This window comes from Homo sapiens, chromosome 3, assembly GCF_000001405.40.
Source record: "Homo sapiens chromosome 3, GRCh38.p14 Primary Assembly".
Taxonomy (NCBI): Eukaryota; Metazoa; Chordata; class Mammalia; order Primates; family Hominidae; genus Homo; species Homo sapiens.
Genome location: NC_000003.12, coordinates 179,031,265 through 179,059,193, shown reverse-complemented (window position 1 = coordinate 179,059,193; position 27,929 = coordinate 179,031,265). Strand labels below are relative to the sequence as shown.

Below are 27,929 nucleotides of genomic sequence, written 5' to 3'. Positions count from 1 at the left end.
CTAATGGAGGGTCCTGCATTGAAGCTCTTTTGGCTTCAATATCCACTTGGCATTTCCCTTCTATTTCCCTTTCCTTTCCTTTCTGACGACCCCAGCAGTGTAAGACTGCCATCTCTTTAGGTTTCTGTACAGCCAATAACAATCTCCTAATGGCTTCCTGATGTTTGATAGGTGTTCCCTTGGAAGTTAGGAATTCCCTTTCTCTGCATATTGCTACATAGGCATGGAGGACTAGGTAGGTATACTTAAGAGTCTGTATATATATTTACCCTTTTTCCTTCTCCTAATTCTAGTGCCCAAGTGAGGGCTATTAGTTCTGCCAGCTGAGCACTAGTTCCTGGAGTGAGGGAATTACTTTCAAGTATTCCATTATCACTGACCACTGCATACCCTACTCTTCGAAGTCCTTTTTCTTTTTTCTTTTTTTTTTTTTTTTTTGAGACGGAGTCTCGCTCTGTCGCCCAGGCTGGAGTGCAGTGGCGGGATCTCGGCTCACTGCAAGCTCCGCCTCCCGGGTTCATGCCATTCTCCTGCCTCAGCCTCCCAAGTAGCTGGGACTACAGGCGCCCGCCACTACCCCCGGCTAATTTTTTGTATTTTTAGTAGAGACGGGGTTTCACCGTTTTAGCTAGGATGGTCTCGATCTCCTGACCTCGTGATCCGCCCGCCTCGGCCTCCCAAAGTGCTGGGATTACAGGCGTGAGCCACCGCGCCCGTCCCGAAGTCCTTTTTCTACAAAGGAACTTCCATCAGTATACAAGTTGATGTTGGGATCAGTCAAGGGAACCTCTAAAAGGTCCCCTCGAGTGGCATAGGTTTGAGCAATTACTTGTTGACAGTTATGTTCTATCTTTTCTTCATTGTCTGGAAGAAATGTGGCTGGGTTGAGTTGCACAAGTGCACAGTCGCAGCACTGGCCCTTCAAGTAATAGAGCCTGATATTTAAGTAAACGGTTGTCTGACAGCAAGTCTTCTTTAGCAGTGAGTATGCCGTTCACGTCATGTCCACACAGTAAGATCTCTTCCCTGTGTTATTTTAACTGCTTCAGATACTAAGACTGCTACTGCCACCACTACCTGTAAACAATGAGGCTAACCCTTTACCACTACATCAATTTCCTTACTCAGGTATACCACGGGTTGCAAGCTCATCCCTCGGACCTGTGTAAGGACTCCTAGAGCTATTCCTGTTTTTTCTGTGACATATAAAGAAAAATCTTGTCCTGTTGGCAAGCTTAACACTGGGACTTGGGTTAGGGCCTTCGTTAGGTCCTAGAAAGCTACTTCCGCTTCAGGTGTCCATCTTACTAAATGGGTATTGGCTTTCTGAGTTTCCTTAATTAGTGTATAGAATGTTCTGGGTATTTCACCGTACCTGGGAATCCATATTCGGCAGAAACCCGTTAAGGAACCCTATTAGTTGCTTTAGGGTTTTGGGATGAGGATAAGCCAGTATAGGCTGGATACGTTCCTCACTGAGGGCCCTGGTGCCTTTGGATAATTTTAGCCGTAAGTATTTAACCTGCTGTGAGCAGAGCTGAGCCTTTGGTTTGGAAACCTTGTAGCCACAGGTAGTGAGGAAATTTAAGAGTGCTTGGGTGGCTTGATGGCACAAGGTTTCTGAATGGGCAGCTAAAAGTAAATCATCCACGTACCGAAGGACAGGAGTGTCCAGGTATTATGAGAATTGGCTCAAGTCTTGGGCTAATGCCTGGCCAGATAGATGGGGGCTATCCCTCAACCCTTAGGGTAAAACAGTCCAGGTGAGTTGAGACACTGGGTTCCAAGGATCTTCAAAAGCAAACAAGAATTGACAGTCAGGATGTACAGGGATGCAAAAAAGGCATCCTTAAGGTCCAGGACTGTAAACCACTCTGCTTCCTCTGGTATTTGGGAAAGCAGAGTATAAGGGTTAGGTACAGCTGGGTATAGAGGGACAGCAGCCTCATTGATAATCCTGAGATCTTGCACTAACTTCCACTGTCTGTTGGGTTTCTGTACTCCTAAAATTGGAGTATTGCAGGGGCTATTGCATGGTTTTACTAGGCCTTGGGCTTTTAGGTCCTTAACAATCTTTTGGAGTCCTTGTTGGGCCTCGGGTCTAAGGGGGTACTGCTTTTGGTAGGGAAAGGACGCGGAATCCTTTAGTTTAACTTGAACTGGACAGGCATTCTTTGCTCATCCATATTGTCCTTTTGTTGCCCAGACTTCAGGATTAATTCCTTCCTCAAGCTGGGGACAACAAATGGGTGTTCCTTCTCCTATGTTCAGGTGTATAATGGCCCCTGCTTTTGCTAGAATGTCTCTCCCTAACAAAGGAGTGGGGCTTTCAGGCATAATTAGAAAAGCATGTGAAAAGAGTAAAGTTCCCCATCACAACTTAGTGGCTGGGAGAAGTATCTAGTGACTGGCTGTCCTAGGACCCCTTGGATAGTGACAGATCTGGAGGACAGTTGTCTGGGACAGGAGAGTAAGACTGAGAAGGCTGCGCCAGTGTCCAGGAGACAGTTAACCTCCTGGCTCTCAATGGTCAAGCATACCCGGGGCTCTGTGAGGGTGATGGCATGGGCTGGCGCTCGCCCCGGGCACCCTCAGTCCTGCTGCTGGATCATCTGGTTAATGGCTTCTGACTCAGAGTATCTTCATCCCCTGGGGCAGTGGGCCTTCCAGTGATTCCCTTGACGTAAGGGGCATGGACAAGGGGGCGGCTTATTTCTACTTGGATAATCTTTTTTAAAGTGTCCTTGTAGACCGCACTGGAAGCCAGCCCTATTAGGCATTTGATTTGCCCAGCTTTTCCCTTTTGCAGAGCCTCCAAAGTCTGCTTGCCTGAGGGCCATGACTAAAGTAGTGGACCCCCCCTTTTTTTTTTATCCCGTTTGTCCCGTTTCGCCTGCTCCTCCTGATCTCTATTATAAAAAACTGAGGATGCCAAGTTAAATAGGGTTTCTAAGTTCTGCTCCGGGCCTAAGGCAGACTTTTGAAGTTTTTTCTAATGTCTGCAGCTGACTGAGTGATAAACTTATCCTTTAAGATTAGTTGGCCTTCAATAGAGTCAGGTGACAGGGAGGTATGCTTCCTCAATGCCTCCCTTAGTCTGTCCAGAAAAGCAGTAGGATTTTCTTCCTTTCCCTGTGTTATAGTGGACATCATTGAGTAATTCATAGGCTTCTTCCTAGTTTTCCTCAGTCCTTCTAGCACGCAAGTTAGCAAATGTTTGTGGCACCAATCTCCATGTTCTGATTCTGTGTCCCAATGAGGGTCTACACTGGGAACTGCCTGCTGGCCTGTGGGAGTTGTTCTTTCCTCTGTTGTCATCCTATTGTTGACCTGACTGAGATACCAAAGATCGCCAAACTCTCGGGCTGCAGTTACAGCGGCACTTCTCTCATTTGGGGTTAGTGTCTGATTTAGTAGTAACATTATATCTCTCCATGTCAGATCAAAGGATTGTCCTAACCCTTGTAAAACATCAATATAGCCGTCAGGGTTATCTGAGAATTTACCTAGGTCTATTTTAATTTGCTTTAAGTCTGAGAGAGAAAAAGGTACAGGCACTCTGGCTGGGCCGAATTCTCCTCCTCTCACTGCTTGGAGGGGGCATAATCGGGGAATATTGGCACTCTTTGGTTCATTGTTTACCCCTTTGTCTATCTCCTTTTGGACCGTTTGGGTTAAAGGGGGGTCCTTATTAGTTGAGGAAGGAGTCGGGGAGGGGACGCTGGGGTAGGGAGGTGGACTCTGAGGGCTTCCTGTAGGGCATAAACCACACTTTTTACATAATTGTGAGTTGTCTCTTAATGAAAAGAAAGTTTGCACATATGGCACTTCACTCCATTTGCCCTCCTTTCTACAGAAGAGGTCTAGCTGTAAGATGATGTTATAATTTATACTTCCCTCAGGAAGCCAGGTTTCTCTCCCTTGAAGAGGATATTGTGGCCAGGCGGTACTGCAGAAGAATATAAATCGTTTCTTTCTTAGCGTCTGAGTGTCACATTGGTCCCAATTCTCCAGAATACATCTTAGGGGCGTTTTTGCCTTGGGGGGAATGTTTCCCATCGCTTTGGAGGTCCCTTTGTGGTTGCCAAAATGTTACTGGGGGGTCCTTGCTCCCAGAGCTCCCAAGATGGCGGCGGGCCACTTCCAAGATGGTGGCAAGCCTCGTGTTCTCTGACCTGGGGTTCTTGGCCTCACGGATTCCAAGGAATGGAATCTTGGGCCATGTGGTGAGTATTATAGCTCTATTAGAAGCCGTGGGTCATGGAAGAGAACCATGGAACCCAGTGACTAGTGTTCAGCTCAATTAGGATGAACCCGGGCACTTAGCCGTGTGGGAACAATGGCAAGCCTTTAGCCCAATTGGGAGCAGCAATGGGCGCCTCGCTGGATCAGGAGCACAGTGGACACCCTGCTGGATCCGGAGGCATGGAAGTCGCCGGCGGGTCTGCGATGGCGGCAAGCAGCAGTGTTGGATGGTGAGCGAAAGCTCTGCTCCAGCCTTAGCAAACACGGACCAGAAGAATGCAGTTGCAAGATTTAATAGAGTGAAATAGAGTGAGAACAGAGCTCCCATACAAAGGGAGGGGACCCAAAGAGGGTAGCCTCATATTGAATTTTTTAATTTTTAAATTTTAATGTTACATTTCAAACATTAACATTTTACATAATTACAGTACAATTGTCAAAATCAGGAAATTAACACAGATTTAAATAAATAAGACTTCCAGATTTTTTATTCTCAATTCATAGCATCTGTTTTATAGGATATTAAGAACCTGAAATCGCGGACTTTGAGGTCAGACTAGTATTTGATGTTGTGGTCTTACTACTCGCTAGATGTATGATATCGAAAACATTTCCTAACCCTTCTCTGCCTCATGAAGAAGGAGATGATGATGAGGAGGATGATACTAATAATATCTGCATGTTAGTATGTGTGGGGCATTTAGAATAGTTCCTGGTACCTGAGATAGTCCTTGACAGTGTTGAGTGGTCCCAAGGTGCAGTGGAACCAGATTGTCCCAGCTCTGCATTGGACAATTGTGGCATTGGCCGAGTTTTATTTTTATTTTATCAACATTTTAGTTTGAATTATTTTAGACTTACAAAACAGTTCCAAAAGTAGTACAAATAATTCCTGTATGCACCTTATTCAGACTCCCCAAACATTAACATTTTACATAACTACAGTATAGTTGTCAAAATCAGGAATTTAACACAGATTCAAATGATATTGTTTAATCTATATACTGTTTACATTTCATTAATTGTGTACTAATGGCCTTTCCCTGGTTCTAGTTATTTAATCCAGGATGAAATTTTGCAGGTAGTTTTCATGTCTCCTTTAATTTGGATAGGTCCTTGGTTTTTCTTTGCTTTTTATCATCTTGCCATTTTTGAAGGGTTGTTTTGTAGAATGTCCCAAATTTGGGCTTGTTTGATGTTTGATTAAATTCAGGTTATGTGTTTTTTAGCAAGAATACCACAGAAATGATACTGTGTTCTTCCTAGTGTGTCATGTCAAGAAGGATGTGATGTGAATGTCTTGTATTACTGGTGCTGTTAACTCTGATCACTTGTTTAAGCTACTGCCTGCCATGGTTCTCCTTTGCAAAGTTACTCTTTTTCTTTTTGTGTTCAACAAATGTTATATGGGGAGGTGCTTTAAGACTGCGAATATTTTATTTCTCATCATAGTTTTGGTCAGTGATGATTCTTGTCTGCAATAATTATTACTGTGGCATTTGCCAAATGGTGATTTTTCTGTTTTAATCATTTCTTCTAAGCTTGTTACTTGGAATTTTACTTTAAGAAAGAGCTTTCCCATTTTTGCATTTATTTATTCAGTTATTTATATTACTGGGGATTTATGGATTCTAATTTTATAGATATTCTATATCTATATCTATAGATATAAATTATCTCTATATAGAATATAGATATTTTGTAGATATATTTTATATCTATAGAATTTTATATCTAGATATATTTTATATCTATAGATATTCTATATCTATACCTATATTCTAATTTTATTTATTTTGATTTATTTTATTTTATTTTTTTGAGACAGAGTCTTGCTCTGTCACCGAGGCTGGAATGCAGTGGCACAATCTCCGCTCACTGCAACCTCCGCCTCCTGGGCTCAAGCGATTCTCCTGCCTTAGCCTCCTGAGTAGCTGGGATTACAGATGCCCGCCACTGTGCCTGGCTAATTTTTGTATTTTTAGTAGAGACGGGGTTTCACCATGTTGGCCAGGCTGATCTTGAACTCCTGACCTCATGTGATCCGCCTGCCTCTGCCTTTCAAAGTGCTGGGATGACAGGTGTGAGCCACCGCGCCTGGCCTAAGTTGCTGCAAATGCCATTATTTCGTTCCTTTTTATGGCTGAGTAGTATTCCATAGTATATATTAATATGTGCCACATTTTCTTTATCCACACGTTGATTGATGGGCATATTTTTTCAGTTGCAAATTGTGCTGGTATAAATGTGTGCACAAGTATCTTTTTCGTGTAATGACTTCTTTTCCTGTGGGTAGATACCCTGGAGAGGGATTGCTGGATCAAATGGTAGATCTACTTTTAGTTCTTTAAGGAAGGAATCTCCACACTGTTTTCCATGGTGGTTGTACTATTTTACATTCCTAACAATAGTGTAAAAGTGTTCCCTTTTGACCACATCCATGCCAACATCTATTATTTTTTGAGTTTTTGATTATGGCCATTCTTGCAGGAGTAAGGTGGTATCATGTTGTAGTTTCGATTTACATTTCTCTGATAATTAGTGATGTTGAGCATTTTTTTCATATGTTTATTGCCCATTTGTATATCTTCTTTTGAGAATTGTCTATTCATGGCCTTAGGCCACTTTTTGATGGTATTGTTTGTTTTTTGTTGCTGATTTGTTTGAATTCCTTGTAGACTGGATATTAGTTCTTTGTTGGATGTGTAGATTGCAAAAATTTTCTCCTACTCTATGGGTTGTCTGTTTACTCTGCTGATTATTTCTTTTGCTGTGCAGAAGCTTTTTAGTTTAATTAAATCTCATCTATTTATCTTTATCTTGTTGAAGTCTTTGCTTAAGTCAATGTCTAGAAGAGTTTTTCCAATGTTCTAGAATTTTTATGGTTTCAGGTTTTAGATTTAAGTCTTTGATCCATCTCTAGTTGATTTTTGTATAAGGTGAGAGATGAGGATCCAGTTTCGTTATTCTACGTGCGACTTGCCAATTATCTCAGCACCATTTGTTCAATAGAGTGTCCTTTCCCCACTTTATGTTTTTGTTTGTTTTGTTGAAGATCAGTTGACCGTAAGTATTTGGCTTTATTTCTGGGTTCTCTATTCTGTTTTATTGGTCTAAATGCCTGTTTTTATACCAGTACCATGCTGTTTTGGTGACTGTAGCCGTATGCTATAGTTTGAAGTCAGGTAATGTAAGACCTCTAGATTTGTTCTTTTTGCTTAGTCTTGCTTTGGCTATGCAGGCTCTTTTTTGGTTCCATATAAATTTTTTTCTAGTTCTGTGAAGAATGATGATGGTATTTTGATGAGAATTGCATTGAATTTGATGATGGTATTTTGATGGGAATTGCATTGAATTTGTGGATTGCTTTTTGCAGTGTGGTCATTTTCACAACACTGATTCTACCCATCATGAGCATGGTTTGTGTTTCCATTTGTTTGTGTCATCTGTTATTTCTTTCAGCAGTGTTTTGTACTTTTCTTTGTAGAGGTCTTTCAGCTCTTTGGTTAAGTATATTCCTATGTATTTTATTTTATTTTTTTTGTAGGTATTGTAAAAGGGGCTGAGTTCTTGATTTGATTCTCTGCTTGGTAGCTGTTGGTGTATAGTGGTGTATAGCAGAGCTACTGATTTGTATATATTAATTTTGTATCCTAAAACTTTGCTGAATTCATTTACCAGTACCAGAAGCTTTTTGGATAAGTCTTTAGGGTTTTCTAGATACACAATCATTTTCATTAGCAAACAGTGACAGTTTGACTTCCTCTTTATTGATTTGGATGCCCTTTATTTCTTTCTCTTGTCTGATTGCTCTGGCTAGGACTTCCAGTACTAGGGTGAATAGAAGTGGTGAAAGTGGGCATCCTTGTCTTGCTCCAGTTCTCAGGGGGAATGCTTTCAACTTTTCCGCATTCAGTATAATGTTGGCTGTGGGTTTGTCATAGATGGCTTTTATTACCTTAAGGTGTGTTTCTTCTATGCTGATTTTGCTGAGGGTTTTAACCATAAAGGGATGCTAGATTTTGTCAAATGCTTTTTCTGTGTCTATTGAGGTGATCATATGATTTTTGTTTTTAATTCTTTTATGTAGTGTATCACATTTATTGACTTGAGGATGTTAAACCATCCCTAGATGTAAAACCATCCCTAAATCCCTGGTGTGAAACCCACTTGATCATGGTGGATTATCTTTTTGATATGCTGTTGGATTTGCTTAGCTAGTATTTTGTTGAGGATTTTTGCATCTGTGTTCATCAGGGATATTGGTCTGTAGTTTTCTTTTATTTGGAATATCCTTTCCTGGTTTTGGTGTTAGGGTGATATGGACTTCATAGAATGATTTCGGGAGGATTCCCTATTTCTTTGTCTTTTGGAGTAGTGTCAGTAGGATTGGTACCAGTTCTTCTTTGAATGTCTGATAGAATTCAGCTGTGCATCTTTCTGGTCTTGGACTTTTTTTTTTGTTGGTAACTTTTTAATTACCATTGCAATCTTGCTGCTTGTTATTGGTCTGTTCAGTTTCTATGTATTCTTGGTTTAATCTAGGAGGGTTGTATATTTCTACCCATCTCCTTTAGGTTTTCTAGTTTATGCACATAAAGGTGTTCATAATAGCCTTGAATGATTTTTTGTATTTCTGTGGTATTTGTTGTAATATCTCCCATTTCATTTCTAATTGAGCTTATTTGGATTTTCTCTCTTATTTTCTTGGCTAACCTCAATAATTGTTTATTAGTTTTATTTATCTTGTCAAAAAACCAACCTTTTGTTTCACTTAATCTTTTGTATTTTTTTTGTTTCAATTTCATTTAGTTCTGTTCTGATCTTGACTATTTCTTTTCTTCTGCTGGGTTTGGGTTTGGATTGTTTTGTTTCTCCAGTTCTGTGAGGTGTGACCTTACATTGTCTATTTGTGTTCTTTTAGGCTTGGCTTTTTTTTTTTTTTTTTTTTTTTTTTGAGACGGAGTCTTGCTCTGTCACCCAGACTAGAGTGCAGTGGCGCGATCTTGTCTTACTGCCAGCTCTGCCTCCCAGGTTCATGCCATTCTCCTGCCTCAGCCTCCCGAGTAGCTGAGACTACAGGCGCCCACCACCACGCCCAGCTAATTTTTTGTATTTTTAGTAGAGACGTGGTTTCACCATGTTAGCCAGGATGGTCTTGATCTCTTGACCTCGTGATCCGCCTGCCTTGGCCTCCCAAAGTGCTGGGATTACAGGCATGAGCAACCATGCCCAGCCCCTTTCAAACTTTTTGATGTAGGCAGTTAATGCTATTAGCACTGCCTTTGCTGTATCACAGAGGTTTTCATAGGTTGTATCACTATTATCGTTCAGTTCAAATAATTTTTTAATTTCCATCTTGATTTTATTGTTGACCCAACAATCATTCAGGAGCAGGTTATTTAATTTCCATGTATTCGCATGGTTTTGAGGGTTTCTTTTGGAGTTGATTTCCAATTTTATTCCACTGTGGTCTGAGAAAGTACTTGCTATAAGTTCGATTTTCTTAAATTTGTTGAGACTTGTTTTGTGGCTATCATATGGTCTACCTTGAAGAATGTTCCATGTGCTGATGAATAGAATGTATATTCTGCAGTTGTTGGGTAGGATCCTCTGTAAATATCTGTGAAGTGCATTTATTGTAACGTATAGTTTATTGTTTCTTTGTTGACTTTCTGTCTTAAAGACCTGTCTAGTGCTGTCAGTGGAGTATTGAAGTCCCCCACAATTATTGTATTGCTGTCTATCTCATTTGTTAGGTCTAGTAGTAATTGTTTTATAAGTTTGGAAGCTCCAGTATTAGGTGCATATATATTTAGGATTGTGATGTTTTCCTTTTGGACTAGTCCTTTTATTATTGTATTATGTCCCTCTTTGTCTTTTTTAACTGCTGTTGCTTTGAAGTTTATTTTGTCTCAAATAAGAATAGCTACTCCTGCTCACTTTTGTTGTCCATTTGCATAGAATATCTTTTTTCACCCTGTTACCTTAAGTTTATGTGAGTCCTTATGTATCACGAGTCTCTTGAAGATAGCAGATACTTGGTTGGTGAATTCTTATCCGTTTTGCCATTTGGAATATTTTAAGTGGAGAATTTAGGCAATTTGCATTCAATGTTAATATTGACATGTGAAGTACTATTTTGTTCATTGTGCTGTTTTTTTTTTTTTTTTGCCTGAATACCTTGGGTTTTTTTCCATTGTGTTATTTTATAGGTCCTGTGAGATTTATGCTTTAAGGATTTCCTATTTTTGTGTATTTGGAGGATTTGTTTCAAGATTTAGAACTCCTTTTAGTAGTTCTTGTAATGCTGGCTTGGTAGTGGCAAATTCTCTCAGAAGTTTTTTGTCTGACAAAGACAGTATCTTTCCTTCATTTATGCAGCTTAGTTTCACTGGATACAAAGTTCTTGGCTGATAATTGTTTTGTTTAAGAAGGCTAAAGATAGGACCCCAGTCCCTTCTAGCTTGTAGGGTTTCGGCTGAGACATCTGCTGTTAATCTGATAGGTTTTCCTTTATAGGTTACCTGATGCTTTTGCCTCACAGCTCTTAAGATTCTTTCTTTCATCTTGACTTTAGGTAACCTGATGACTGTATGCCTAGGCGATGATCTTTTTGCAATGAATTTCCTAGGTGTTCTTTGAGCTTCTTGTATTCGGATGTCTAGATCTCTAGCAAGGCTGAGGAAGTTTTCCTCAATTATTCCCTCAAATATGTTTTGCAAACTTTTAGATTTCTCTTCTTCCTCAGGAACAGCAATTATTCTTAGGTTTGGTCGTTTATCGTAATCTCAAACTTCTTCGAGGCTTTGTTCATTTTTTAAAAATTCTTTTTTCTTTGTCTTTATCAATTTGGGTTAATTCAAAAGCCTTATATTTGAGCTCTGAAGTTCTTCTACTTGTCCGACTCTATTGCTGAGACTTTTCAGTGCATTTTGCATTTCTCTGAGCGTGTCCTTCATTTCCAGAAGTTGTGATTGTTTTTTATTTATGCTATCTATTTCACTGAACATTTTCCATTCATACCTGTATTATTTTTTGATTTATTTAAGTTGGACTTCACCTTTCTCTGGTGCCTCCTTTTTTTTTTGAGACTGAGTCTTACTCTGTCACCCAGGCTGGAGTGCAGTCACATGATCTCAGCTCACTGCAACCTTTGCCTCCCGGACTGAAGTGATTCTCCTGCTTCAGCCTCCTGAGTAGCTGAGACTATAGGCGAGCACCACCACATCCGGCTATTTTTTTTTTTTGTATTTTTAGTAGAGATTGGGTTTCACCATGTTGGTCAGGCTGGTCTTGAACTCCTGACCTCAGGTGATCTGCCTGCCTCAGCCTCCCAAAGTGCTGGGATTACAGGCGTGAGCCACCACGCTCGGCCTGGTGCCTCCTTGATTGGATTAGTAGTTGACCTTCTGAATTCTTTTTCTGGCAATTCAGATATTTCACCTTGGTTTGGATCCACTGCTGGTGAGCTAAGGTGATCTTTTGGGGGTGTTAAAGAACCTTGTTTTGTCATGTCACAAGAATTATTTTTGTGGTTCTTCCTCATTTGGGTAGACTATGTCAGAGGGAAGATCTGGGACTCAGAGGCTGCTCTTCAGATTCTTTTGTCCCACAGGGTGCTCCCCTGATGTGGTGCTCTCACCTTTCCTCTAGGATGGGGCTTACTGAGAGCTGAACTGCAATAATTGTTATTTTTCTTCTGGATCTAGCCACCTAGTGGAGCTACTGGGCTCTGGGTTGGTACTGGGCAGTGTCTGCAGGGAGTCCTGTGATATGATTCATCTTCATGTCTGTCAGCTGTGGATACCAGCACCTGCTCTGGTGGAGGTAGCCGGGGAGTGAAGTGGACTCAGTGAGGGTCCTTGGTTGTATTTTTGTTAAGTGTGCTGGTTTTGTGTTGGTTGGTCTCCAGCCAGGAGGTGGTGCTTTCAAGAGTGCATCAGCTATGGTAGTATAGAGATGATCATGCGGTGGGTGGGGCCCCAGAGCTCCCAAGAGCTTATGTCCTTTGTCTTCGGCCACCAGTGTGGGTAGAGAAGACCATCGGGTTGGGGCAGGGTTAGGCATGTCTGAGGTCAGTCTCTCCTTGGGTGGGGCTTGCTGCAGCTGCTATGGGGAATAGGGGTGTGAACGGGCCAATGGAGTTATGTTCCCAGGGGGATTATGGCTGCCTCTGCTGTGTCACACAGGTCACCAGGGAATTGGGGGAAAGCTGGCTGTTACAGGCCTCACCCAGCTCCCATGCATCCCCCAGCCCTAAAGGCTGGTCTTCCTCCCACTGTGCCTCATCTGTAGCACTGAGTTCATTTCCAGGCAGCTGGTGGTCAGGGCTGAGAACTTGCCCCAGACCACAAGCCTCCCAGCTGAGAAAGCAGGCCGACTCAGTTCCTCAGCTGTCCCACGGAGTCTGCAGTGGCAATCCGCCTCCTTCAAAGGGCCTGTGAATACCCTCCGCTTTCCTGGTATGTTCCTGCTGTAGTTCTTGGAGCAAAATTTCATGATATGGGTCTCCACACACTGCTCTGTCCATCTGAGTGGGAGCTGCTAGTTAGTCCTGCCTCCTGTCTGCTATTTTCCCTGCAAATTTGCATACTTTTCTTAGTTGCCATTAGTATCATTATGTTGTGGATGCAATATCTGCTTGAATACTACTGGGGATGCTGCTTTGGAAATAAAATACCTGATACTATCTAACCTTGACCCCTCCACTAGTACTGGGTACCTCTTCTGCCTTTTCATGGACTGTGTTCCTGTAGTCATGCTCTTCAGCTCCTGTATCAGCTGTTCTTCTGCTTTTAGTGACTTCTTCCTGTTGTCATACAGACAAGCCTCTAAAATCCATATTTCAAAGGGAAATGATCCCATTTCTCTGTCTAGCTGCATGCCGGATTTCTCTGCTCCCTGTCATAGAGCTCTTCTGCATAGTTGCCTGTACTGGGTGTTTTCCTAGTTAAACCACTTCACATGACCTTTATCTCTCACTGTTCTGCTGAAGTGATTCTTACCTAGGCCAGTTGTGACCTCTGTCTTTGCAAATCCAAGTATCACTTCTCTCTCCTGACTTTATTCACAGCAGCTTTTGACCTGATGAACTACTCCCTTTTTTGGTTATTGTTGTGCTGAATGATTATGAAGTCCTTCAGATATAAGGTACCAAAAATATAATAAACATTTGTATTTGCCATCTAGCTTAAGGAGTAAAAATTATTAATTCAGCTGAAGTCCCCATGTATCTCTTCCCAATTGTATCCCTATCCTATGCCCCTAGATGTAGCCACTATACTGGATTGATATTTATTGTTACCACACATTGTTTTTGTATATTTGCTACATATATGTTCCCTTATATAAGTATATAGTGTTGTTTTTTATATTTTTAGACCCTATATTAAAAATTATTCTTACATATCTTCTTTTGCAATTTGCTCTTTTTATTCAGTATTTTGTTATGAGACCGATTCATGTTTCCATGCATGGCCCTAGAGTGTTTACTTTCACTACTGTGTAGTGTTCCTCTGTATGAATAATCTACAATTTATCTGTTGTCCTGTAGGTGGTCACTTACATTGTTTCCACCTTTTTTGCTGTTACAAACAATACTTCTAGGAGCATCCTTATGGTTATCTCCTATGTATGTTTCTGTTTCGTAATACCTAGAACTATAGTTCCTGGGTCATAATGTATTTAACTAGACTCTTCTTTTGAGCCACTTTGTTCCAGACTTCTATGACACTGCACTTGTCTGGTTTTTATCTTATTTCATGGGCATTCTCAATCTTATTTTTGGATTCTTTGCCACACTTGATATTGTAGTGTCTTAGAGGTTTGTCCTTTGCTCTCTATCACCGACTCGTCTAGGTAACTTACCTAGTTTCATGGTTTTATTTAATTTTATTTATTATTATTATTATTTTTTATTATACTTTAAGTTCTGGGGTACATGTGCACAATGCGCAGGTTTGATACATAGGTATACATGTACCATGTTGGTTTGCTGCACCCATCAACTCGTCATTTACATTAGGTATATCTCCTAATGCTATCCCTCCCCTAGTCCCCCGCCCCCTGACAGGCCCTAGTGTGTGATGTTCCCCGCCCTGTGTCCAAGTGATATCCTTGTTCAATTCCCACGTATGAGTGAGAACATAAGGTATTTGGTTTTCTGTCCTTGTGATAGTTTGCTGAGAATGATGGTTTCCAGCTCCATCCATGTCCCTGCAAAGGACATGAACTCATCCTTTTTTATGGCTGCATAGTATTCCATGGTGTATATGTGTCACATTTTCTTTCTTTTTTTCTTTTGAGACAGAGTCTTGCTCTGTCGTCCAGGCGGGAGTGTGGTGGTGCAATCTTGGCTCACTGCAAGCTCCGCCTCCTGGGTTCATGCCATTCTCCTGCCTCAGCCTCCCAAGTAGCTGGGACTACAAGCACCTGCAACCATGCCTGGCTAATTTTTTGTAGTTTTAGTAGAGACAGGGTTTCATCATGTTAGCCAGGATGTTCTCAATCTCCTGACCTTGTGATCCTCCTGCCTTGACCTCCCAAAGTGCTGGGATTACAGGCGTGAGCCACCGTGCCCGGCCACCACATTTTCTTCATCCAGTCTATCATTGATGGACATTCGGGTTGGTTCCAAGTCTTTGCTATTGTGAATAGTGCCGCAATAAACATACGTGTGCATGTGTCTTTATAGTAGTATGATTTATAATCCTTTGGGTATATACCTAGTAATGGGATTGCTGGGTCAAATGGTATTTCTAGTTCTAGATCCTTAAGGGATTGCCACACTGTCTTCCACAGTGGTTGAACTAATTTACACTCCCACCAACAGTGTAAAGCGTTCCTATTTCTCCACATCCTCTCCAGCATTTGTTGTTTCCTGACTTTTTAATGATTGCCATTCTAACTGGTGTGAATCTTCATTGTGGTTTTGATTTTCATTTCTCTGACGACGAATGATGATGAGCATTTTTCCATGTATCTGTTGGCTGCATAGATGTCATCTTTTGAGAAGTGTCTGTTCATATCCTCATATCCTTTGCCCACTTTTTGATGGGGTTCTTTGTTTTTTTCTTGTAAATTTGAGTTCTTTGTAGATTCTGGATATTAGCCCTTTGTCAGATGGGGAGATCGCAAAAATTTTCTCCCATTCTGTAGGTTGCCTGTTCACTCTGATGGTAGTTTCTTTTGCTGTGCAGAAGCTCTTTAGTTTAATTAGGTCCCATTTGTCTATTTTGGCTTTTGTTGCCATTGCTTTTGGTGTTTTAGTTGTGAAGTCTGTGCCCATGCCTATGTGCTGAATGGTATTGCCTAGGTTTTCTTCTAGGATTTTTATGGTTTTAGGTCTAACATTTAAGTCTTTAATCCATCTTGAATTAATTTTTGTATAAGGAGTAAGGAAGGGATCCAGTTTCAGCTTTCTACATATGGCTAGCCAGTTTTCCCAGCACCATTTATTAAATAGGGAATCCTTTCCCCATTTCTTGTTTTTGTCAGGTTTGTCAAAGATCAGATGGTTGTAGATGTGTGGTGTTATTTCTGAGGCCTGTTCTTTTCCATTGGTCTATATGTCTGTTTTGGTACCAGTACCATGCTGTTTTGGTTACTGTAGGCTTGTAGTATAGTTTGAAGTCAGGTAGCATGATGCCTCCAGCTTTGTTCTTTTGGCTTAGGATTGTCTTGGCAATGCGGGCTCTTTTTTTGGTTCCATATGAACTTTAAAGTAGTTTTTTCCAATTCTGTGAAGAAAGTCATTGGTAGCTTGATGGGGATGGCATTTAATCTATAAATTACCTTGGGCAGTATGGCTATTTTCACGATATTGATTCTTCCTGTTCATGAGCATGGAATGTTCTTCCATTTGTTTGTGTCCTCTTTTATTTCCTTAAGCAGTGGTTTGTAGCTCTCTTTGAAGAGGTCCTTCACATCCCTTGTAAGTTGGATTCCTAGGTATTTTATTGTTTTCGTAGCAATTGTGAATGGGAGTTCACTGATGATTTGGCTCTCTGTTTGTCTGTTATTGGTGTATAGGAGTGCTTGTGATTTTTGCACATTGATTTTGTATCTGAGACTTTGCTGATGTTGCTTATCAGCTTAAGGAGATTTTGGGCTGAGACAATGGGGTTTTCTAAATATACAATCATGTCATCTGCAAGCAGGGACAATTTGACTTCCTCTTCTCCTAATTGAATACCCTTTATTTCTTTCTCTTGCCTGATTGCCCTGGCCAGAACTTCCAACACTATGTTGAATAGGAGTGGTGAGAGAGGGCATCCTTGTCTTGTGCCAGTTTTCAAAGAGAATGCTTCCAGTTTTTGCCCATTCAGTGTGATATTGGCTGTGGGTTTGTCATAAATAGCTCTTATTATTTTGAGATACGTTCCATCAATACCTAATTTATTGAGAGTTTTTGGCATGAAGGCTGTTGAGTTTTGTCAAAGGCCTTTTCTGCCTCTATTGAGATAATCATGTGGTTTTTGTCATTGGTTCTGTTTATGTGATGGATTATGTTTTTTGATTTGTGTATGTTGAACCAGCCTTGCATCCCAGGGATGAAGCTGACCTGATCATGGTGGATAAGCTTTTTGATACGCTGCTGGATTCGGTTTGCCAGTATTTTATTGAGGATTTTCGCATCCATGTTTATCAGGGATATTGGTCTAAAGTTCTCTGGTTTTTGTTGTATCTCTTCCAGGCTTTGGTGTCGGGATGATGTTGGCCTCATAAAATGAGTTCCCTCTTTTTATTGATTGGAATAGTTTCAGAAGGAATGGTACCAGCTCCTCTTTGTACCTCTGGTAGAATTCGGCTGTGAATCTGTCTGGCCCTGGACTTTTTTTGATTGGTAGGCTATTAATTATTGCCTCAATTTCAGAGCCTGTTACTGGTCTATTCAGAGATTCAACTTCTTCCTGGATTAGTCTTGGGAGGGTGTATGTGCCCAGGAGTTTATCCATTTCTTCTAGATTTTCTAGTTCGTTTGCGTAGAGGTGTTTATAGTATTCACTGATGGTAGTTTGTATTTCTGTGGGATCGGTGGTGACATCCCCTTTATCATTTTTTTATTGCATCTATTTGATTCTTCTCTCTTTTCTTCTTTATTAGTCTTGCTAGTGGTCTCTCAATTTTGTTGATCTTTTAAAAAAAACAGCTCCTGGATTCAGTGATTTTTTGAAGGGATTTTTGTGTGTCTGTCTCTTTCAGTTCTGCTCTGATCTTAGTTATTTCTTGCCTTCTGCTAGCCTTTGAATTTGTTTGCTCTTACTTCTCTAGTTCTTTTAATTGTAATGTTAGGGTGTCAATTTTAGATCTTTCCTGCTTTCTCTTGTGGGCATTTAGTGCTATAAATTTCCCTCTACCACACTGCTTTAAATGTGTCCCAGAGACTCTGGTACGTTGAGTTTTTGTTCTCATTTGTTTCAAAGAACATCTTTATTTCTGCCTTCATTTCGTTATTTACCCAGTAGTCATTCAGGAGCAAGTTGTTCAGTTTCCATGTAGTTGTGCAGTTTTGAGTGAGTTTCTTAATCCTGAGTTCTAATTTGATTGCACTGTGGTCTGAGATGCAGTTTGTTGTGATTTCTGTTCTTTTACATTTGCTGAGGAATACTTTACTTCCAATTATGTGGTCAATTTTAGAATAAGTGTGATGTGGTGCTGAGAAGAATGTATATTATGTTGATTTGGGGTGGAGAGTTCTGTAGATACCTATTAGGTCTGCTTGGTGCAGAGCTGAGTTCAAGTCCTGTATATGCTTGTTAACCTTGTGTCTCATTAATCTGTCTAATATTGACAGTGGGATGTTAAAGTCTCCTATTATTATTGTGTGGGAGTCTAAGTCTCTTTGTGGGTCTCTGAGGACTTGCTTTATGAATCTGGGTGCTCCTGTATTGGGTGCATATATATTTAGGATAGTTAGCTCTTCTCATTGAATTGATCCCTTTACCATTATGTAATGCCCTTCTTTGTCTCTTTTGATCTTTGTTGATTTAAAGTCTGTTTTATCGGAGAGTAGGATTGTTACCCCTGCTTTTTTTTTTTTTTTGCTTTCCATTTGCTTGGTAGATCTTCCTCCATCCCTTTATTTTGAGCCTCTGTGTGTCTTTGCACATGAGATGGGTCTCCTGAATACAGCACACTGATGGGTTGTGACTCTTTATCCAATTTGCCAGTCTGTGTCTTTTAATTGGGGCATTTAGCTCATTTACATTTAAGGTTAGTATTGTTATGTGTGAATTTGATCCTGTCATGATGTTTGCTGGTTGTTTTGCCCATTAATTGATGCAGTTTTTTCATAGCATCGATGGTCTTTATAATTTGGCAGTTTTTGCAGTGGTTGTTACCGGTTGTTTCTATGTTTAGTGCTTCCTTCAGGAACTCTTGTAAGGCAGGCCTGGTGGTGACAAAATCTCTCAGCATTTGCTTGTCTGTAAAGGATTTCATTTCTCCTTCACTTATGAAGCTTAGTTTGGCTGGATATGAAATTCTGGGTTGAAAATTCTTTTCTTTAAGGAAGTTGAATATCGGCCCCCACTCTTTTCTGGCTTGTAGGGTTTCTGCCGAGAGATCCGCTGTTAGTCTGATGGGTTTCCCTTTGTGGGTAACTCGACCTTTCTCTCTGGCTGCCCTTAACATTTTTTCCTTCATTTCAACCGTGGTGAATGTGACAATTACATGTCTTGGGGTTGCTCTTCCCAAGGAGTATCTTTGTGGCATTCCCTGTATTTCCTGAATTTGAATGTTGGCCTGCCTTGCTAGGTTGGGGAAGTTCTCCTGGATAATATCCTGAAGAGTGTTTTCCAACTTGGTTCCATTCTCCCTATCACTTTCAGGTACACCAATCAAACGTAGATTTGGTCTTTTCACATAGTCCCATATTTCTTGGAGGCTTTGTTCATTTCTTTTTACTCTTTTTTTCTAACCATGTCTTCTTGCTTTATTTCATTAATTAATTTGATCTTCAATCACTGATACCCTTTCTTCCACTAGATCGAATTGGCTATTGAAGCTTGTGCATGTGTCACGAAGTTCCCATGCCATGGTTTTCAGCTCCATCAGTCATTTAAGGTCTTCTCTACAGTGTTTATTCTAGTTAGCCATTCGTCTAACCTTTTTTCAAGGTTTTTAGCTTCCTTGCGATGGGTTCGAACATGCTCCTTTAGCTTGGAGAAGTTTGTTATTACTGACCTTCTGAAGTCTACTTCTGTCACCTCGTCAGAGTCATTCTTTGTCCAGCTTTGTTCCATTGCTGGTGAGGAACTATGATCCTTTGGAGAGGAGGCACTCTGATTTTTAGAATTTTCAGCTTTTCTGCTCTGGTTTCTCCCCATCTTTTTGGTTTTATCTACCTTTGGTCTTTGATGTTGGTGACCTACAGATGGGGTTTTGGTGTAGACGTTCTTTTTGTTGATGTTGATGCTATTCCTTTCTGTTTGTTAGTTTTCCTTCTAATAGGTCCCTCAGCTGCAGGTCTGTTGGAGTTTGCTGGAGGTCCACTCCAGACCCGGTTTGCCTGGGTATCACCAGCGGAGGCTGCAGAACAGCAAATATTGCAGAACAGCAAATATTGCTGCCTGATCCTTCCTCCGGAATCTGCATCCCAGAGGGGCACCCATCTATATGAGGTGACTGTTGGCCCTTACTGGGACGTGTCTCCCAGTTAGGCTACATGGAGGTCAAGGAGCCACTTGAAGAGGCAGTCTGTCCATTCTCAGAGCTCAAACACCATGTTGGGAGAACCACTGCTCTCTTCAGAGCTGTCAGAAAGGGACATTGAACTTTGCAGAAGTTGTCTGCTGCCTTTTGTTCAGCTAAGCCCTGCCCACTGAGGTGGAGTCTGGAGGCAGTAGGCCTTGTTGAGCTGTGGTGGGCTCTGCCCAGTTCGAGCTTCCCAGCCACTTTGTTTACCTACTCAAGCCTCAGCAATGGCTGAGGCCCCTCCCCCAGCCAGGCTGCTGCCTTGCAGTTTGATCTCAGACTGCTGCGCTAGCAGTGAGTGAGGCTCTGTGGACGTGGGACCTGCCAAGCCAGGCACGGGAGAGTATCTCCTTGTTTTCCGGTTGCTAAGACCTTGGGAAAAGCGCAGTATTTGGGCAGAAGTGTCCTGTTTTTCCAGGTGCAGTCCGTCACGGCTTCTCTTGGCTAGGAAAGGGAAATCCCCTGACCTCTTGGCTTCCCGGTTGAGGTAACACCCCACCCTGCTTCAGTTCGTCCTCTGTGGGCTGCACCCACTGTACAACCAGTCCCAGTGAGGTGAACCAGGTACCTCAGTTCAAAATGCGGATATCACCCGTCTGCTGCATTGATCACGCTGGGAGCTGCAGACCAGAGCTGTTCCTATTTGGCCATCTTGTATTTTATTTTATTTTTTGAGACAGGGTCTCGCTCTGTCACCCAGCTGGAGTGTAGCATTGCAGTCATGGCTCACTGCAACCTCAACCTTCTGGGTTTAACTGATCCTTCCATCTCAGTGCTCCCAGCAGCTGGGACCATAGGTTTGCACCACCATGCCTGCCTCATTTTTCTTTTTTTAGAGATGGGGTTTTGTCATTTTGCCCAGTTTGGTCTCAAAGTCTTAGACTCAAGTGATCCTTCTGCCTCAGCCTCCCAAAGTGCTGGGATTATAGGCATGAGCCACTGTGCCTGGCCCTAGTTCCATGGTTTTAAATTCCACCTACATACTGATAACTCCTCAGATTCTATCTCTAACCTGACCTCGTTCGTAAACTCCAGGTTGGTCTCTCTTTGGACATCTGAAAGGGATCTCAGACTTAACACAGCAAGTGGGTCTCTTGATGCCCAGCTCTTCCCCCTTTCTCTACATTGCATGGCTGGAGCCATCTCATGCTTCAGCTTTTAGCTGACATGTATCTCCCCAGAAAAGCCTTGTCGGCCCACCCCACTCTCTCCCTGTCCATTATCTATTATATCATCCTGTTTTATTTTTTGCAGAGCAGTTGTCAGTAACTCTTTTTTCTTTGGTTGTGTGTGTGTACATATATATATGTACATGTATATATTCTGTTTATGTCCCCTAGAAAAGCTTCTTGAGGGCAGAGACTTTGCCTTTGTTCACTGTTTTATCTCCTTTTCTTAGAATGGTTGCCAGAACATAGAGGGTAGTCAGTAACTATTTAACCCTGTTATCTTCCGCCAGAGTTGTAGATTCAAATTCTCACCTGTTTTTAGAAGACTTCTAAACCTTCTTAGCCTTGACTTCCTTAGTGCTAATGTTGCAGCTTTTGTAGTTCAGCAAGCGGGAGGAAATGGCACACTGGCTTTTTTTCCCCGTTGCTCAGTGAGCAGGAGGGAGGGTTGCAGTGTAAGGATTCCTTTGGTGCTGCTTCACCAGCCGGAAATCTCTGTGGGTGCTGTGTCCTCTGCCTGGGGCCTCATTCCACCGAGCTCACTCCGCCCACTCAGCCTGGCAGGCTGTGCTCGGCTTGTGCCTTGGCCTGGATCCTGCGCCCGCTGAGGGATCTGCACTCAGCCCATGGCTCCACTGGGTGTGTTGCCAGCAGCTTCTGCATTGGGTGTCGTTGTCTAGATGAGGGGAATGTGGGTGGTGCCCGAAAACTCAGAGATGTCAGTAATGGCAGAGTCCCAAGGGGTGTTACAGCTCTCATCCGGGGAGTCCCAAGATTTGACCTCCCAAGAAATGTTGCAGCTTTGTATTGTTCCTGCCACCTGCAGCTTGGCGAACAGGGGCATGTTACAGCTCAGTCGGTCCCACCACCCGCAGCTCAGTGAATGGGTGTGTGTTACAGGTTGGCCTATTCTGGGTTCTTCTCCTGCGACCAAGAGGAATAAGAGGAATAAGGTACATGGACACTGGAGAGTGAATAGGGTGGAGAAGAATTTCATTGAGCAATAGAAGGAAAGCTCTCAGCAGAGAGGGGGCCCAAGAGTGATTAGCCCTGTGTGTGAGAGGGGACCCAAAAGAGGTTTGCCATCTGTGGGGTTGAGTCTGGGATTTTTATGGGCTCAGAATGGGGGAGTGCGTGCTGATTGGTTCACGGGTCGGCTTGGAAAAAGCACCATTTGATTGCCTAAAAGGCATCGAGGAAGTTCTCACTCTCGTTGTGGACTCCACCTGCAACTGGCAGCTCAGTTTTCAGTCTTTAAACTGTCTTTGGCATGAGGTTGGGTTTCACAGGGACCCATCCCTGTCTGCCTAGGAATTTGTCTGTCTCCAGTTGCTGTCACTAAGCCACACATTGCACTGTCTCTTGGATTCATTAAGATGTCTTTCGGTTGTCTCAATCTCATATTGAGATTGAGATTGTTGACTCTATCTTCTTCCCCAAAGCCTTTTTTCCTCCCCACACCTTTAAAAATTTTTCATAAATATTTCCATCTACCCTGCGGTTCACCTCCCTTCTACCCTCTTATCCAATATGCTATTACTTGTTCTTACCTTCTTCATAGTTCCTGCGTCTTTCTCCTTTATCTAGCCATTATCTTGCTTGAGGCCCATTTTGCAAGCTGTTATCTGTCTCCACTCTGTCTAGGTGATAGTTTTTGGCTCCATAGCTTTAAATACCATCCACATTCAGATCATTCCTGAGAGTCTGTCTTCATCCTGACCACACTCTTGAACTCCAGTTTGGTTGTGGGCTTCTATGATAACATACTATCTGATTTTTATCTTACTTTTTGGCTAGACCTTGTCAATCTCATTTTCTGGATCTTCATTCTCTACTAGACTCTATGTTGTAGTGTCTAGGATTTTGTCCTTGACTCTCCTCTGTGTATCTTCCCAGCTTCCAGCTTTGGTCTGCTACCCTGATGCTCATCTTTATCAAATACAATCAAGTCATGCACTGCTTTGCTTAAAGTTCCTCAGAGGCTCCCTGCTGCCTCTGAAGTCCAAGTTCTTTATCATGGGCAAAGGCATTAAGAATGAGCCCCCTGTGTATTTCAATTTTTGCCTCTCCTCCAAAGGATCTAGAAGACCGTTATCTCTCCTTGTAGCCCCTCAACACAGAAGGCTGGGCTTTTGCTCATGCTATTTTCTTGGTGCACAGTTTTCTTTTTCCGTATTGCTTACCTCCCCTGTAAACATTTGCTCATTTAAAAAGATGAGTCAGTTGCCCCCTTTTCAGGGAAGTCTTCCGTGATACATTCAGGCAGGAGTAAGAAATTCCTTCTCTGTGTTCTCCTAGCAGTTTATTATCTTCATTATAATACTTGGTTCATTTATCCAACAGTTATTTATTGCTTGCTTGCTATATTCTGGAAACTATTCTAGGCATTGGGATTAGAACAGTAAACAAGACAGATGAGGTCCTCATTTTCAAGAAGTCTACATTACAGAGCGGAGGAAAGAGAAAAAAAAACAAGTCAACAAACTATATTATTTTAGATAGTGATTAGTGATACTAAGATAAAATAAAACCGGCCAGTGTGGTAATATGATGGAGTGTGTGTGGTGTGGAGAGGGGGAGTGGTTGTGACACTTGAGAGTGAGTGAGGTCCAGTTTGAGTTGAGACTTGAAAGATTAGAAGGAGCAATCCATACAGAGATCTGCAAGAGGTACATTCTAGGCAAAAGGAACAGTTAAGTACAAAGGCCTTGGAGCTAGCCTGAGCTTGGCATGTTTAAGGAGCACATGCAGCCTAGTGAGCCAGGAGCATAATGAGCAGGGGAAAGGAAGGAGTGCTGTCTGACATAAGGCCCAAGAGATAGACGGGGCCAGATCATGTAGGGCCTTATAGGTAAGATTTGTCAATTAGATGGGGCCAGAACATGTAGGGCCTTATAGGTGAGATTTGTCAGTTAGACAGGGCCAGATCGTGTAGGGCCTTATAGGTAAGATTTGTCAATTTTAAGTATAGCAGAAAGCCATTGGAAGAGTTTTATGTGAGGGAGTGACATGGAACTGATTCATGTCAAGAATTATTACTTGGGTTTATAATGAGGAGAATTCTAGGAGGACAAGATTAACAGCAGAGACCAATTAGGAGTTGTTACCTACTGCAAATGACCACTGTTACCTACTGCAAATGAAAAATGTTGGTACCTTGGATTACTGTGGTATTTGTAGTATCCATGGAGAGAAGTGGAGTGATGTGGGATGTATTTTGAATGACAAGACTTGCTGATGGGTTGAATGTGTTGGGCTTAGGGAAGGATGGAATCAGGAAAAGGACCCCTTGGCTTTTCTTGGGTAATTTTGTGGATGGTGGTGCCATTTACCTACTGTGGATGACTAGTGGTGGTGGTGATGGTGGTGATGAGAAAGTTCTATGGAGGAGGAATCAAAAGTTGTTTTAAGTTGGATATGCCTCTTAAGACGTGAAAGTATGGATGACCAGGAGGAAGCTGGATATGTGGTTCTGAAGGTCAAAGATGGAGATTGATGATTTGGGGAGTCACCAACTTACTCATGGTATTTGAAAGCTATAGGTCTGGGTAGAATAACCTAGAGTCAGAGAATAAAAGAGGGCTAAGGGTGCGTCCTTGGACATTGTAGAGTTTAGAGGTCTGATAGAGGAGGAGAGGTGGGGAGGGAAGAAGGAGTATAGATGATAGTAGGAGGAATGTTTCAAGAAGGAAATGAACTGTGTCATGCTACTTTGAGTTCCAGTAAGATGAAGGCACATATGTGACCACTGGATTTGACTCTGGAGTTCACTGTGACCATGGTAAAAGCACCTTTAGGGTATTGAAGTGAGGAGAAGATGGATCTTAGTTCATTACTCTATTTAGCTGCTTAGGTATCTGTCTCCTCCTCTATGTGCTAGTCCTTAGTTTATTTCTAGGGCTTAGCATATAAATAGATGGTGAATAAATGTTTGCCTGCAGGTTTGAGTTTTACAATGCAGTTTAAAGAATAATATACTGTTTTACCCTTATTTAGAATGCTTTTGTACTATTGACCCTTGCCACTAGTTTGTGTCAGTTCAAGGAATATAATCATGTGACTAATAAAACGTGATGAGAAAGGCAAGTTGATGTTAGTAGAGGTTCCTAGTGCATCTTGAAGCCATCATGCTGTAGTGGAAAAGGGCCATTCTTTGATTTGGAAGGCCTGTCTCAGGCTTTGGCTGTGCTATTTAGCCCTTGAGAAGGGAGCTGGGGGCAAGCTCCTTACAGTCTCTGGATTGCAGTTCCTTGGCTGTCATAAATGGACAATATTAACAAATTCCTCTTACAAGATTTTTGTGAGCAGCAAATGAATAAATGCAATGAACATCCTTTGTAAGTAAAAAGATACTCTGTAAGGGCAATTTTAAAAGAATAATTGGATTATCCATTTCATTACTAACTTATAAAGTACATTAGATCAGAGTGTCATGAAATTCATATTTATCTGTGGCATATAAATGGCAAGAAGTTGGGTGAGGACATAAGTCACTGGAAAATGTGATACTTCTTTTTTTTTTTTCCTAAAATCCCATATTCTTTTCTTTTCTTTTCTTTCTTTCCTTTTTTTTAAAATTTTTTTAGTATTTATTGATCATTCTTGGGTGTTTCTCGGAGAGGGGGATTTGGCAGGGTCATAGGACAATAGTGGAGGGAAGGTCAGCAGATAAACACGTGAACAGAGGTCTCTGGTTTTCCTAGGCAGAGGGCCCTGCCGCCTTCCGCCTTCCGCAGTGTTTGTGTCTCTGGGTACTTGAGATTAGGGAGTGGTGATGACTCTTAACGAGTATGCTGCCTTCAAGCATCTGTTTAACAAAGCACATCTTGCACCGCCCTTAATCCATTTAACCCTTAGTGGACACAGCACATGTTTCAGAGAGCACGGGGTTGGGGGTAAGGTTATAGATTAACAGCAGCCCAAGGCAGAAGAATTTTTCTTAGTACAGAACAAAATGGAGTCTCCTATGTCTACTTCTTTCTACACAGACACAGTAACAATCTGATCTCTCTTTCCTTTCCCCACACTTCCCCCTTTTCTATTCGACAAAACCGCCATCGTCATCGTGGCCCGTTCTCAATGAGCTGTTGGGTACACCTCCCAGATGGGGTGGCGGCCGGGCAGAGAGGCTCCTCAATTCCCAGACGGGGCGGCCGGGCAGAGACGCCCCCCCACCTCCCAGACGGTGTAGCGGCCGGGCGGGGGCTGCCCCCCACCTCCTGGATGGGGTGGCTGCCGGGCGGAGACGCTCCTCACTTCCCAGATGGGGTGGCTGCTGGGTGGAGGGGCTCCTCACTTCCCAGACGGGGCGGCTGCGGGGCAGAGGGGCTCCTCACTTCTCAGACAGGGTGGCTGGTCAGAGACGCTCCTCACCTCCCAGATGGGGTGGTGGTGGGGCAGACACACTCCTCAGTTCCCAGACGGGGTCGCGGCCGGGCAGAGGTGCTCTTCACATCTCAGACGGGGCGGCGGGGCAGAGGTGCTCCCCACATCCCAGACGATGGGTGGCCGGGCAGAGACGCACCTCACTTCCCAGACGGGATGATGGCCGGGAAGAGGCGCTCCTCACTTCCCAGACTGGGCGGCCGGGCAGAGGGGCTCCTCACATCCCAGACGATGGGCGGCCAGGCAGAGACGCTCCTCACTTCCTAGACGGGGTGGCGGCCGGGCAGAGGCTGCACTGTTGGCACTTTGGGAGACCAAGGCAGGCGGCTGGGAGGTGGAGGTTGTAGCAAGCCGAGATCACGCCACTGCAGTCCAGCCTGGGCAACATTGAGCACTGAGTGAGCGAGACTCTGTCTGCAATCCCGGCACCTCGGGAGGCCGAGGCTGGCAGATCACTCGCGGTCAGGAGCTGGAGACCAGCCCGGCCAACACGGCGAAACCCCGTCTCCACCAGAAAATACGAAAACCAGTCAGGCGTGGCGGCGCACACCTGCAATCGCAGGCACTCGGCAGGCTGAGGCAGGAGAATCAGGCAGGGAGGTTGCAGTGAGCCGAGATGGCGGCAAGCAGTCCAGCCTCGGATCAGCATCAGAGGGAGGCTGTGTGGAGGGGGAGGGGGAGGAGGAGGGGGAGGGGGAGGAGGAGGGGGAGGAGGAGGGGGAGGGGGAGGAGGAGGGGGAGGGGGAGGGGGAGGGGGAGGGAGAGGGAGAGTTTTTTTTTTTTTTATTTGAGACAGAATCTAACTTTGTCACCCAGGCTGGAGTGCAGTGGTGTGATTTCCGCTCACTGCAACCTCCGCCTCCCAGGTTAAAGTGGTTCTCCTGCCTCAGCCTCCCGAGTAGCTGGGATTACAGGCATGTGCCACCATGCTCAGCTAATTTTTGTATTTTTAGTAGAGATGGGGTTTCACCATGTTGGTCAGGCTGGTCTCGAACTCCTGACCTCAGGTCATCCACCCTCCTTGGCCTCCCAAAGTGCTGAGATACAGGCATGAGCCACCGCACCCAGCCAATGTGATACTTTTTAAGAAACATACAGGAAATTAATTTCCTTTGGCTGTGTTCTCTTGTCTTTCCCAGAAAAATTTAATTGTTCTGTTAGAGCCAAAGAGTAGGCTCTTTTACTTCAAGATCTAGCAATCAAATCTAGCACTATAGTAGTCTGTTTACCCCCAGGGTTGTGTATGTGTGAAGGAATAAAATGTAGTTAGTATTGTGTTTTTTTCTTTTTTTTTTTAAGTGATTAAGTAAATACATTGATTAACTCAGTTTGACACACTTTCTCATGGTGATTACAGTTTTCATTTTTTTTTATCCATAGGAGATATCAAGACCTCTAGTAGAAGCCTAAAACCGTGATATTTCTGAACTC

The 27,929-nt window shown here is 42.8% G+C and overlaps 1 protein-coding gene across 11 annotated transcripts in view, besides 2 other annotated features; it reads left to right on the top strand.

Moving 5' to 3' along the window:
• ZMAT3 (zinc finger matrin-type 3) overlaps window positions 1-27,929 on the top strand; it is a 55,291-nt gene that overhangs the window by 13,320 nt on the left and 14,042 nt on the right. The window lies entirely within an intron of this gene.
• Window positions 12,599-12,678: an enhancer, noted in NCBI's record as "active region_20858". NCBI's record gives its function as "activates an Ori minimal core promoter by ATAC-STARR-seq in GM12878 lymphoblastoid cells {active_cell/tissue: GM12878}" and the evidence as "EXISTENCE:reporter gene assay evidence [ECO:0000049][PMID:35858748]".
• Window positions 12,699-12,838: an enhancer, noted in NCBI's record as "active region_20857". NCBI's record gives its function as "activates an Ori minimal core promoter by ATAC-STARR-seq in GM12878 lymphoblastoid cells {active_cell/tissue: GM12878}" and the evidence as "EXISTENCE:reporter gene assay evidence [ECO:0000049][PMID:35858748]".